At 37.7% G+C, this 12,067-nt stretch overlaps 1 protein-coding gene and 1 long non-coding RNA gene across 16 annotated transcripts in view, besides 1 other annotated feature; one reads left to right on the forward strand and one right to left on the reverse strand.

Annotated features, from left to right (window-relative positions):
- EPB41L4A (erythrocyte membrane protein band 4.1 like 4A) overlaps nt 1–12,067 on the reverse strand; it is a 278,107-nt gene that overhangs the window by 90,640 nt on the left and 175,400 nt on the right. For all 15 annotated transcript variants that reach the window (XR_001742173.3, NR_144931.2, XM_011543531.4 and 12 more), the window contains 3 exons: nt 8,251–8,342; nt 7,192–7,269; nt 2,166–2,287 (listed from right to left, as the gene is read on the reverse strand). Coding sequence is in view for 13 of the 15 variants with exons in the window: in XM_011543531.4 (XP_011541833.1) it covers nt 2,166–2,287; nt 7,192–7,269; nt 8,251–8,342 (292 nt within the window). In the remaining 2 variants the exon portion in view is untranslated. The remainder of the gene's footprint in view (nt 1–2,165; nt 2,288–7,191; nt 7,270–8,250; nt 8,343–12,067) is intronic.
- The window catches only part of LOC101927023 (uncharacterized), a 29,027-nt gene that overhangs the window by 4,186 nt on the left and 12,774 nt on the right, over nt 1–12,067 (forward strand). The gene's annotated exons all lie outside the window — the stretch shown is intronic.
- Nucleotides 4,944–5,455: an enhancer, noted in NCBI's record as "NANOG hESC enhancer chr5:111573109-111573620 (GRCh37/hg19 assembly coordinates)". NCBI's record gives its function as "activates a minimal SCP1, AML or CMV promoter by ChIP-STARR-seq in naive H9 embryonic stem cells {active_cell/tissue: H9 hESC(naive)}" and the evidence as "EXISTENCE:reporter gene assay evidence [ECO:0000049][PMID:30033119]".

A 12,067-nucleotide genomic window follows, 5' to 3' on the forward strand; every position in this document is an offset into this window, starting at 1 on the left:
TCTTGTCAGTGTAGAACCACCAGAAAGAACTTTATTTCCTTCCAGCCCAACAAGAGGAGGGGAACTAGAGTGAGACTTAATTTGACTTTAGAAGCAGTAAGTCAGGTGACATTCTCACACACAGGAATGGTAAAATAAACTCATACACTTTTCTTCACAGGCTTGACAAAAGGATTAAATGAAATGATAGATGTCATAATGCTAGGTCAATTTTCACACAATGTTCCAATGTTAATATTGTTACTAAAAATTTCATTTACTTCCTATAATGTGCTAGACCCAGGAGACCTGGGCTCCTGTCCCAGCCACACCTCTGAATAACTGCTAGAAGCACATCTTCCTCATCTGTAAAATGGTATGTACTCTTTCCCTTGCCCCACCTCACAGGGTGAGGCTCAAACAAGATAATATCTGTGAAAGGACACTGGAGAGTGTTAGACAAGGGTGATCTATAAGCAAGCCACAAACTAACGTCAGCAATATTACTTCACAGTAAAATTCTGTGAGCAATGAGCACTGAACATGGATTAAAGCTGCTTGATTAGGTGGTTTTATTAAAGACACAGTGTCTTCATTAAAAAAAAATCTGAATAACCCAAATATCCATCAACAGTAGAATGAATAAATTGTCAAACACAAGAATACTCACAGCAAGAAAAAGGAATGTGCTTTAGTACACACTGTATATAATGTTGGCAGGAAGAATCAAGACACAAAAAAAGACATACTATGATCCATTCATCTAATGTTAAAAACAGGCAAAATAAACTAATTTGTTCAGGAAACTGACAAATTATAATGAAAAGAAAGGAATGAAATTACCACAAAGTCAAACAGAAGTTTCCTCTAACTGAGGGGAGGAAATGGTGAGAACACTTATCAGAGAAATGCCCATGTGGCACTTTTGGGATGCAGGCTAGATTAAACTTTGTATGTGTCTACACACATATGTATACATGTATGTATATGTCCATAAGTATGGATATTTTATTTATATACTTTCTATATGTGTATTATGTTACACAATAAAAGACCAATAATAACAAAGAACCAACTGGATTCTGTACAAATGAAGCTCAAATTAAGTTACCTCAATAGTGCTCCTTTTTTTTAATTTGTATTTTTAATAGATAGGGGCCTCACTTTGTTGCTCAGGCTATACTCAAACTCCCAGGCTCAAGCGATACTTCTGCCCTAGCCTCTTGAGTAGCTAGGACGACAGCCTTACCATCATGCCCAGAAGTGCTGTTTTTTGTTGTTTGTTTGTTTTTTTCAAGACTCTTGCTAAGAGTTTTTTCAATTTCAACTCAAATACATCAAATTAAGAAATTACTCAGTTTAGCATTTTGTCTTGTGTGGTTTTTGTTGTTTGTTTTAAGAAACAGGGTCTCAGTCTATCACCCAGGCTGGAGTGTAGTGGCATGATCATAGCTCACTGTAACCCTGAATTCCTGGGCTCCAGCCATCCTCCTGCTTCAGCCTCCCAAAGCACTGACATTACAGGTATGAGCCATTGTGCCCAGCCAAGATTTTATGTAAAATAAAACCCCTTCAAAAAGAACGTATGGGGCCAGGCATGGTGGTTCATGCCTGTAATCCTAGCACTTTGGGAGGCTGAAGAGAGATGATCACTTGAGCCCAAGAGTTTGAGACCAGCCTGGGCAACATAGTGAGACCCTATCTCAATAAAATAAAATAATATAAAATAAATAAAATTAAAATAAAATAAAATAAAATAAAATATAAATAAAATAAAATAAAATAAAAATAAAATAACCAGGCATGGTAGTATGTGCCTATAGTCTCAGCTACCTGAGGTCAGAACATCACTTGGGCCCAGGAGGTCAAGGCAGCAGTGAGCTATAATCATGCCACTGCAATCCAGCCTGGTGACACAGCAAGATCCTAACTCAAAAAAGAAAAAAAAAGAAAGTACAGTCATTAAGCAGGCCATGGTGATTCAAGATGACTATATGTCTTCTTAAAATTACTGTCTGCTTGAACATTTCCAAGATCAAATTAAAATTTCTAATATTAGAAAATTTTAATATTGGAAATTTCAATAGAAAGACTGTAGAGTTATAGACATCACCTGAGTATATCTTACACTACCAGCCTAAAGGAAAACAAGGTTACATAGATAACTCAGGGGAACCATGACTTACCAGCTGGCTGTGTTTGTGCTATTCGCTTAGGGTAAGTCTTGCTTCGACTTCTTGTCACATTCTGATCAGGCCGGGGAAGCTGAATAGAAAGATCTCGGCTCATTTGCAAAGCTGTCCTGCCACTTGAGAGTGCAACATTTTGATTAGCAAAGGTAAAACCACACAGCCACAAAATTAAACAACAGGTCATTCAGAACATCTGCCAAATATGGAGAGAAGAAAAAACACACAGACTCCCTGGTTTTTAATTGATTCTCATTGCAATATTGATCAAGGGAGTGGTTATTAAATTCTAGGAGGAGATTTACATTAGATAGAAGGAAAATCTTTCAGAGGAGGAAACAGGAAGAAAGAATTTATTAAAGGAGGAATTAGATTTCAGTAGAATGATGGGCTAGAAATAAAGGTTGCTGACAGTCTTTAAGGTCACTAAATAATAAAGAAATTAAGTTGGGCTAAACTGTGGGAAGGCAATGATTCCACATGAGCTCCATGTTGTACTCACACAGCAGGTTGTAAACCATCCCCCACAAGACCACTCGGTATGATTTTATTCTGGACTCTGTCATGGCACAATTAGCCATTTACTATGCCCACCCTGCCTGGGCCAGATCAAGTGTCCAGGAAGACTGAAGGCAGGCCTAGAACCCCATGCAAAGCACTGCTGCTCTATACATTCCATGCAGATTCCAGGGCAGGTTTCCCTGGGGCTGGGCCAAACTTCTCAAGTAATTTTCCCAAGGAATCATGTGATTTAGTTTGCTGGATTTCAGTGAACATTCACCTTACTAACAATTTATTCCACAACTGCTGAATTTGAGCAACTGAATGACCCTGGCTTTCATGCAGGTAAATATCATTTAGGTACAGGAAAAACGCATTTCTACAAGTCTAGTTTGATTCACCACAAGTACAGCCATCTATGGGAGGAAAAAAGTCTTTTAATGGCCCCAAATCCTATTCATCTTACATTTACAGGATAAACACAGGTGAGTGTTTCCCCAAAAAACAGATTTAACAGACTTAAAATTCATCTTTCACATGCTTCTGTGGAAGTTTCTCCTCCTTACTACTTCCTCTACCTTTATTAAAAATGAAGATGCCTACAAAACTTATAAAAATGACTCTGCATCAGGCTAAGTTGGGACGTGTGGTATCAGCTACCAGGGGAATAAAGATGCCAGGGCGCATCCATGATTGTTCTTCATGTTCAGTAACAGTTCATGGAAATTCGGGAGGGGAGAGGAGCAAACTGACAGATTTTCTTTTGCTTGAAATGTAACTTCTTCTAAAAAGGTACACAGGATAACATAGATTTCCAAAAAGCTAAAAATCCCCATAAAGTGAAAAGTTTCATTATTATAAATGGTCTGGAGTATGAAGATAAGGCCTACTTTCAACAGACTATTAACAGAAAGACCTGGGCACTGTACACTTCACTCACAGAGGAAAAAATGTTCCCCCTAAAAATATAACCCAATATGTGAACCACTGAGGCATTTCACAGTCAGATTTTTTTTATTATTCAAATTTTTCTCATGGTTTCTCTCTAGGAACAAAAGAGAAATGAGAAAATCATATCCTAAGATTAATAAGACCAAGGACCAGAAGCGTAAAGTGATCTGCCATAGGCTATACAGGACCCAGCACTAGAACAAGCTTTCTGACCTCCTGCTGGTCAGTATGGCATAGGCTGATGGCATGGGAGAAGGAACAGCACATGTAGCTGTTGGGTTTGAAGTTGCAAGCCCTGTTTAAAGCAAAGCTCTGCCTTTCCCCAGCTAAGTGGTCTTCAGAAAGTTATTTGTAAAAATCCTTGCAGCCTCATTTTCCTCATTTATATTTCTACTTGTTCTTACAATTTCCTGGCAGAAGTATTCTTATATAGCATCCTATTTCCTTGTAGCAGAAAGTAATTGACAAGTATGGAGATTTACAGTGTAAGGTGATGAAAGTCCCTGCACATGTTTGGTGGCTCTCTGTTACGACAGGACACAGTTTTATTTCTGTGATCACCCACTTCCCTGCTGCCTCTGGCATAAATACAGCCCTTTGCATGCTGAGTGGCACTGCCAGCAGCCCCTTCAGCCTCTAAGTGAGACAGAAAGAAAAGAACGAGAGTAGAAATACTCAGGTTCAAAACCCCAGCTTTGCCACTTACTGATTAGGGACGCTTACTTTACTTTTGGAGGCTCCAATTTCTCATCTATATAAAGGGGGATATGAAACCTCTTTGGCAGGTCATTGTGTGGATTAAATAAAGCTGCACATGTGAAAGCAACTGACACAAAGGAGGTTCTTAGGAGAACTTGGTCTCTCTTCCATGCTTCATAGAATGTGAAATCTCATGACAGCTCCTGTGAGTTGAGTCCTACAGTGAGGATCTGGGTTCCCAGGGGAGTTTCTAAGCCTTCTTTCTCAATTCTCAAGTGTAAATTCTACACAACTCATTAATCAAAACTAGGAGCACCCCACAACTTAATGACAGGTAAAGGCAAGGTTAATTTGTAAGGGGCTCAGAGAAGATAGCAATGTATAACAAAATGTTTAATCAAAGATTTCTATTTCAGATTATTGGTCCCTGGTAATAAAACAACAGTAACAACAACAACAAAAAGTACTGGAACATCAGATTTCAGCTCAGCCTTTCCTCACAAATTTAATTTTTAATCTTCATTTTCCCATATCACTAAAAAAAGTCCGATTTTTCCCTTAAGTAAGCACTAGTTTTCCCAAAAAGTGCTACCGTCCTTGGCATTTTGCAAGCCTTAAAATGCAAGACAGAGTAAAGACTAGAACTCTTGTCTTCCTCCATCACATATATGTATGGTGCACAACCACAAAGACACTAACACATCACTATAAACACATACACAATTACACACACAAACACACCCAGATACCTGCATTCATACACTGCAGCCACCTGTTAAGCTGTTCTTTATACCCTATTCTTTAAAAGCCTGCAGGGTGAAAGGAAGAGAATGTGTTTCCAGAGCTCTGCTTTCATTCCAGGATGTCTCCGGAATGTCTCAAGAAAGGGGCAGGCATATTGTGCTGGTTAAAGTCTGGTTGCTTGCCCTCTTTTGACAATAAACAGTCTGTGTGCTAATGAACCCCCAGCAATCAGAGACCCATCCCTGCCTAACCTCTGGGCATCGTCTTTCTTCCAAGGATGGTGTAATGTTAGTGTCTCCTACATATAGACATGTAGATTTAAGATTCATTAAGACTTACTAGGCAGTTAACATCAGCCACAAAATTGGAACAGATTTAGCATGGCCTCCAATTTTGCAAAGGTTACTTTTAATCACTTCCTTGGAAGAAATGATACTTAATATGCAAAATCCAATAACTTCCTAATAATAATTCCCAGTAGCCACAACATTTGCATTTCAATAAATTTGAGAAATAAAGTATGGCTAAATTTGTGGAAGCCAACAACAGCGTATGTTAAAGAGGATAATTACAATTTTAATAGTATGAACATTAAGACAGATGTCTTTCTACCAGCTCCTTTTCAGGGACAAGGAGACATTCTCTCTATAATCCTGGTGATGTTTTATGCCACAACTGGAAGAACAGTCCAAGTACTGACTATTACCTGCTCTTCTCAATATAAATGTAAACAATACTTCCTTAAATTCTTCATAATTGTATCACTGTCTACAGAAGAACAGTGAAAACCTAAAGGTTAAACATTAACATATCAATGAATACCTTCATGTAAATTCCAAGAATATCTATAATACAATGACACTTAAGTATTTTTATTCATGCAATGAGCAAATTTTCAACTAAATAATATATAAAGATGAATGCACTGAACGTTTAATATTCATTACTCTTTTACTGATAATCTTTAATCTCAAATTCAAGACCCAAAAAGTGCATTATAAAAGAGAAGAATTAAAATCTAGCATAGAGGACTATTGTCCTGAAAATGCTTGCCTTGGCTTTTTTTGTACCTCTTAAGGAAGCATTTCATTCAGTGATGTCTCCAATGGAACTGACAAAAGTGTCCCATCTCTGTGACACTAGGTGGCATCTCCCCACCCTGCTTGGGTTTTACAAGGCCTGGGGACCTCCCTCACTGTTTGAATAATACTATAGCTCTTTGAAGGCAGAAGTGGGTAGATCTGATTCTTTGTATCTCTAGGTACCTAATACTATGCCTTGCACATCACAGGCTCTCTCCATTGAACAGAATGAATTGAAACAAGACAAATTCTTTTTCAAAATATAGAACCCACTCTCATTTTTAATGCTGGTATCAGAAAAAGACATAAGCGCCTGCCTAGCTGCATGACAATCAGGCTTTTTCCACAACAGGCTAACAGTTTGCCTAATGGTTATAAACATGAGCTCTGCAGCTAGAGCGCCAGGGGATGGATCCCACTTCCCCGCTTCCTAGCTGGATTACCTGGAGAAGGGACTTGACCTCTTTGAGCCTTAGGGTCCTCATACATTAATGGGGCTAATATTACAGAAGATTGATAACTAAATGAAGCAATGAATGGAAAACATGTATCACAGTACACAGCACTTAGTAACTGCTCAATAAAGTTGAGATATAATTGCTAGCATTACTACATGCAGGCTTCATGTTGCAGAAAAAACAAGGTTTGATGCACAATATAAAAAGTATAGATTGTATTAAAATAGGGGATCAACTGAATGTCTTAAAAACACAATTAGTTACTATTCAGAATCTACATTGTTTCATAATCACAAAACACACATAATTAAAAATAAGTGATAACTGTGTCAAAATGAATTTCTGAAGATAATAAACTTTACTATGATCTAAAAGCCCACAACATAGCTAATGCAGACACTAAATATAATTAAATCTGGAAAATCATGTTTGTTGAGAAAGTTTTAATAAACTGTTATGCTTACAAAACACATTGGCAATGCAAGAAAAAAGAAAAAAATAAATAAATAACTTCACTGAGCATGTATGACAGCTGAATTAAGTATTTATTTACAAACACATCCCCCCAAGGAAAAAAATGTCATTTACCTGTAGCGGTGCTTATAACGTATGGATCCAAACTTGCTGAGTTTTCTTGACAGTGAATTGGATTCATTTTCTGGCATTCTAATCAATTTTTAAAAGAAAATCAGACAAAGACTCAATGTTATAGGCATTCTGGGCCACCCCCTTCTCCTAACACAAACTTTATAAAGGACTCCAGCCACTTTATAAGAATACTTCTCCAACATCATGCAATTCATACTCCATGAGGATGAAACAGGGAAGAACTCAATTTTGTTTCCATTTAAAAAACAAAACCAAAAAATAAAGCTTAATGTATCACCAGCTAAATTTTTGTTTTATCTTTACAACATAAAGATGTGAAACAAAGAAAAAAGTATCCCCACAATCCAAAGGTCATTTCTCTAGTTTCATCTGACCGGACCTCCCAGGAGGACTGCATGCAGTTGCCAGCACCTTATTCATCAAGACATTCCCTTTCCTCGTTTCCCAGGATACAACACACTCTTCTGACTGCTCCTTCTCATACTCTAGACTGGCTCATCCTGCCCTCTAATGTCGGGAGGGCCACCAAGCTCAGTCCTTGGAGTTCTGCTTCTCTCTCCACTGTTTCCACTGGTGACCTCATCCAGCCACTTCTGTAAATAACTACTTAAGTGACTTCATCAACTTTGGTCTTTCCAGTGAGCCTTGTACACCTAACTGACTTACCACATTTCTACCTAGATGGCTGATAGGCTTTTCAAATTAATTATGCACAGAACACTCCATTTCCACCAATACTACATAGGTGCTAGCAATGGCTGCATGTTTTACATAAACCTAAAAAATATTACCTCGATCCTTTCTTGCAGTATCAAAGATATAACTGTATCTATGTGTATAAGTGCCTATGTGTATATATATCTACACATACATGAATGTGTGCATGTTTGTATTAATATAATCCAGAGAATTAGGAATTGAGAAAATTAATAAAAGGGAAACAATTCCAAATTTCTGTTTTAGACAGAATTCTTTTTATAAAAATAAATGCCATTTTCATTTATTAAGACAACAAACAAAATTTTTACATCAATTTACCTAAAAAATGTATGATGTTCCACACTGCACTTCCAGAGGTGCTTGCAAGCAGTTTTACTCCGAGCTTCAAAAAAGAATGAGGTTTCGTTACACTAAGAGAGAAAGAGAGACAGAATATGAATAATGACCAGGGAAGGAAGATAGCATTCTTCAAATAACAGCCCCCTTTAAGTAACAAAAATTCAAGCAGAGAGATTATTGATAATATATAAATAATAACTGTCTCTTGGTAACTATTTTTGGAGAGGTGCATTAAAATCACCTTCCATCGATTAAAATTTTATAAATTACACTTAAATCTTAAAGCACCTTTATTACCTACTTTTACATTGCCCCATGACAATAGATAGTTTGGACGGTAGAAGTGAAATACTACAAAATCTCCCTCATAAATGGCCACTAATACAGGAAAAGCACGGACCATGTGAAAATCAACTCCCAGTAAAAAAAAGATGCCCACAAATCCAGTCCTTAAGTGTATTACTTTCAGGGATGAACAAGTCACACATAAAGCAATGAGTAAAGAATCTCAAGCCAAGAACCACCAGGAGTGACCACCCCAGCAGCATAATCTGGGAAAATTAAATAATGCCTCTGATGCCATGTCTCTCCATCCTGCATCAAGTCACTGAGTGGATCAAATTCAACAATATGCATACATAAAATATCATATAATAGGTGTATAATACATGCTAATTATTTTAATCCAGTAGTTATTTGATTCTCTATATTTAATAAGTAAGAAATAAAACAACATTGAAGGTACAAATCAGCCCTCTATATCCACAGGTTCCACATACACAAGTTAGCCAAACTTGAATCAAAAATATTCAGAAAAAATAATACAAATTTAAAAAGCAATAGAGCATAACAACTATTTACATAGCACTTAGATTAGGAATCATAAGTAATCTAAAAATGACTTAAAGTATATGGGAGAATGTGTGTAGGTTATATGCAAATACCATGCCATTTATATAAGGAATTTGAGCATTCTCGGATTTGGGAGGAAGGTTTCTGAAACCAATACCCTGTGGATGCTGAGGAACAACTGTACAAGCATACCTTGGAGATACTATAGGTTCAGCTGCAGACTACTGCAATAAAGTGAATATTGCAATAAAGTGAGTTGCACATATTTTTTGGCTTCCTAGAGCAGGTAAAAGTTGCTTACATTACACTGTAGTCTATTAAGTATATAACAGCATTAGGTCTTAAAAAAACATATATACTATAATTTAAAAATACTTCATTGGTGAAAAATGGTAAAAGTCATCTGAGCCTTCAGGAAGTCATAATCTTTTGGTTGGTGGAAGGTACTGCCTCAATGTTGATGGCTACTGACTGACCAGGGTGGTAGTTGCTGAAGGTTAGAGTGGCTATATCAATTTCTTAAAATGAGACAACAATGAAGCTTTCTGTGTTAATGGACTCTTCCATTGAAGAAAGATTTCTCTGCAGCACGTGATATTGTTTGATAGCATTTGACCCACAGTAGAACTTCTTTCAAACTTGGAGTTAATCTTCTCAAACCCTACCACTACTTTATCAATTAAGTTTGTGTAATATTTTAAATCCTTTGTTGTCATTTTAAAAATGTTCACAGCATCTTCACCAGGAGTAGATTCCAACTCAAGAACCACTTTTGTTCATTCATAAGAAGCAACTCCTTATTCCTTCAAGTTTTATCATGGGATTGCAGCAATTAAGTTATACCATCAGGCTTCACTTCTAATTCTAGTTTTCTTGCTATTTCTACCGCATCTGCAGTTACTTCCTTCACTGAAGTCTTGGACCCCTCAAAGTCATCGTGGGGGTAGAAATCATCTTCTTTCAAACTCCTGCTAATCAGAATAATTTGACCTCCTGCCATAAATCATAAATTATCTTAGGGGCATCCAGAATGGTGAATATTTTCCAGAAGTTTTTCACTTTGTTTGTCCAGATCCATTAGAGAAATCATTATCTATCGCATCTATAGTTTGTAGAAAGTATTTCTTAATACTTGAAAGTTGAAGTTACCTCTTGATCCATGGGTTGCAGAACAGATACTGTGATAGCAGGCTTGAAAGCAACATTAATCTCCTTGTACATCTCCATGATAGCTCTAGAGTAACTAGGTGCACTGTCAATGAATAGTAATATTTTGAAAGGAATCCTTTTTTTTCTGAGCAGTAGATATCAACATTGGGCTTAATATATTCACTAAGCCGGCCCAGGAGTGGTGGCTCATGCCTGTAATCCCAGCACTTTGGGGAGCTGAGGCAGGCGGATCACCTGAGGTCAGGAGTTCAAGACCAGCCTGGCCAACATGGCGAAACCACATCTCTACTAAAAATACAGAAATTAGCTGGGCATGGTGGCAGGCGCCTGTAATCCCAGCTATTTCGGAGGCTGAGACAGGAGAATGGCTTGAATCCGGGAGGCAGAGGTTGCAGTGAGCCGAGATCGTGCCACTGCATTCCAGCCTGGGTGATAAGAATGAGACTCTGTCTCGAAAATATATATATATATATCTATGTATATATACACACACACACATATATATATGTGTGTGTATATATATATATATATTTTGTTTGTTTGTTTGTTTCCTAAGCCATGCTGTAAATAGGTGTGCTGTCATCCAGGCTTTGTTTTTCCATTTATAGAGCACAGAGTACAGTTAGCATCATTTGTATAGAACCCAGAATTTTCTGAATGGTAAATGAATATTGGCTTCAACTTAAAGTCACCAGCTGCAGTAGCACCTAAAGAGACAGTCACCCTGTCCTCGGAAGCTTTAATGCAGGCATTGACTTCTCGTTATAGCTATGAAAGTCCTAGATGGCATCTTCTTCCAACAGAAGAAGGTTGTTTTGTCTCCACTGAAAATCTGTTGTTTAGTGTAGCCACTTTCATCAATAATCTTAGCTAGATCTTCTGGATTACTTGCTGCAGCTTCTAAATCAGTACTTGCTGCTTCACCTTGTACTTTTTATGTTATCGAGATGGCTACTGTCCTTCAACCTAATGAACCAACCTCTGCTAGCTTCCTACTTTTATTCTGCAGTTTCCTCACCTCTCTTAGACTTCACAGAATTGAAGAGAGTTAGAGCCTTTCTCTGGATTACAGACTTTGGTTTAAGGAAATGCTGCAGCTTGTTGGATCTTCTATCCAGACCATTCGAACTTTCTCCAAATTAGCAGTAAGACTGTTTTGTTTCTTATTATTTTTGTGTTCACTACAGTAGCTCTCCAAATTTCCTTCAAGAATTTTTTCTTTGCATTCACAACTTGGCTAACTGGCACAAGAGGCCTAGCTTTCAGCCTATCTCACCCTTTAAGATGACTTCCTCACTAAGCTTAATCATTTCTAGCATTTGATTTCAAATCACAGATGCACAACTATTCCTTTCAGTTGAACCCTTAGAGGTTATTGTAGGGTTATTAACTGACCTAGTTTCAATATTACTGTTTCTTGGAAACTAGGGAGGCCTAAGGACAGGGAGAGAGACAGGGAATGGCCAGTCTGTGGAGCAGTCAGAACACATGCATCATTTATCAATTAAGATCGCTATCTTACATAGATGCAGTTTGTGGCACCCCAAATCAATTGCAACAGTAACATCAAAGATCACTGATCACAGATCACTATTGAAGTGGCTACACTGTCTGGGGTATATACCTTGGGGTTCATTGTCACGCATTGAGAAAGAATTCAGGTGGGTTAAGGGGTGGAAAGTTTAATAGAGAGAAGAAAGGAGGGAGGAGGGCAGCTCCCTGAGAAAGAGAAAGAGACGTCTGAAAAAGGCTGGGAGGCCATGGACCACAGCAG

Source organism: Homo sapiens, chromosome 5 (assembly GCF_000001405.40).
Source record: "Homo sapiens chromosome 5, GRCh38.p14 Primary Assembly".
Lineage (NCBI taxonomy): Eukaryota > Metazoa > Chordata > Mammalia > Primates > Hominidae > Homo > Homo sapiens.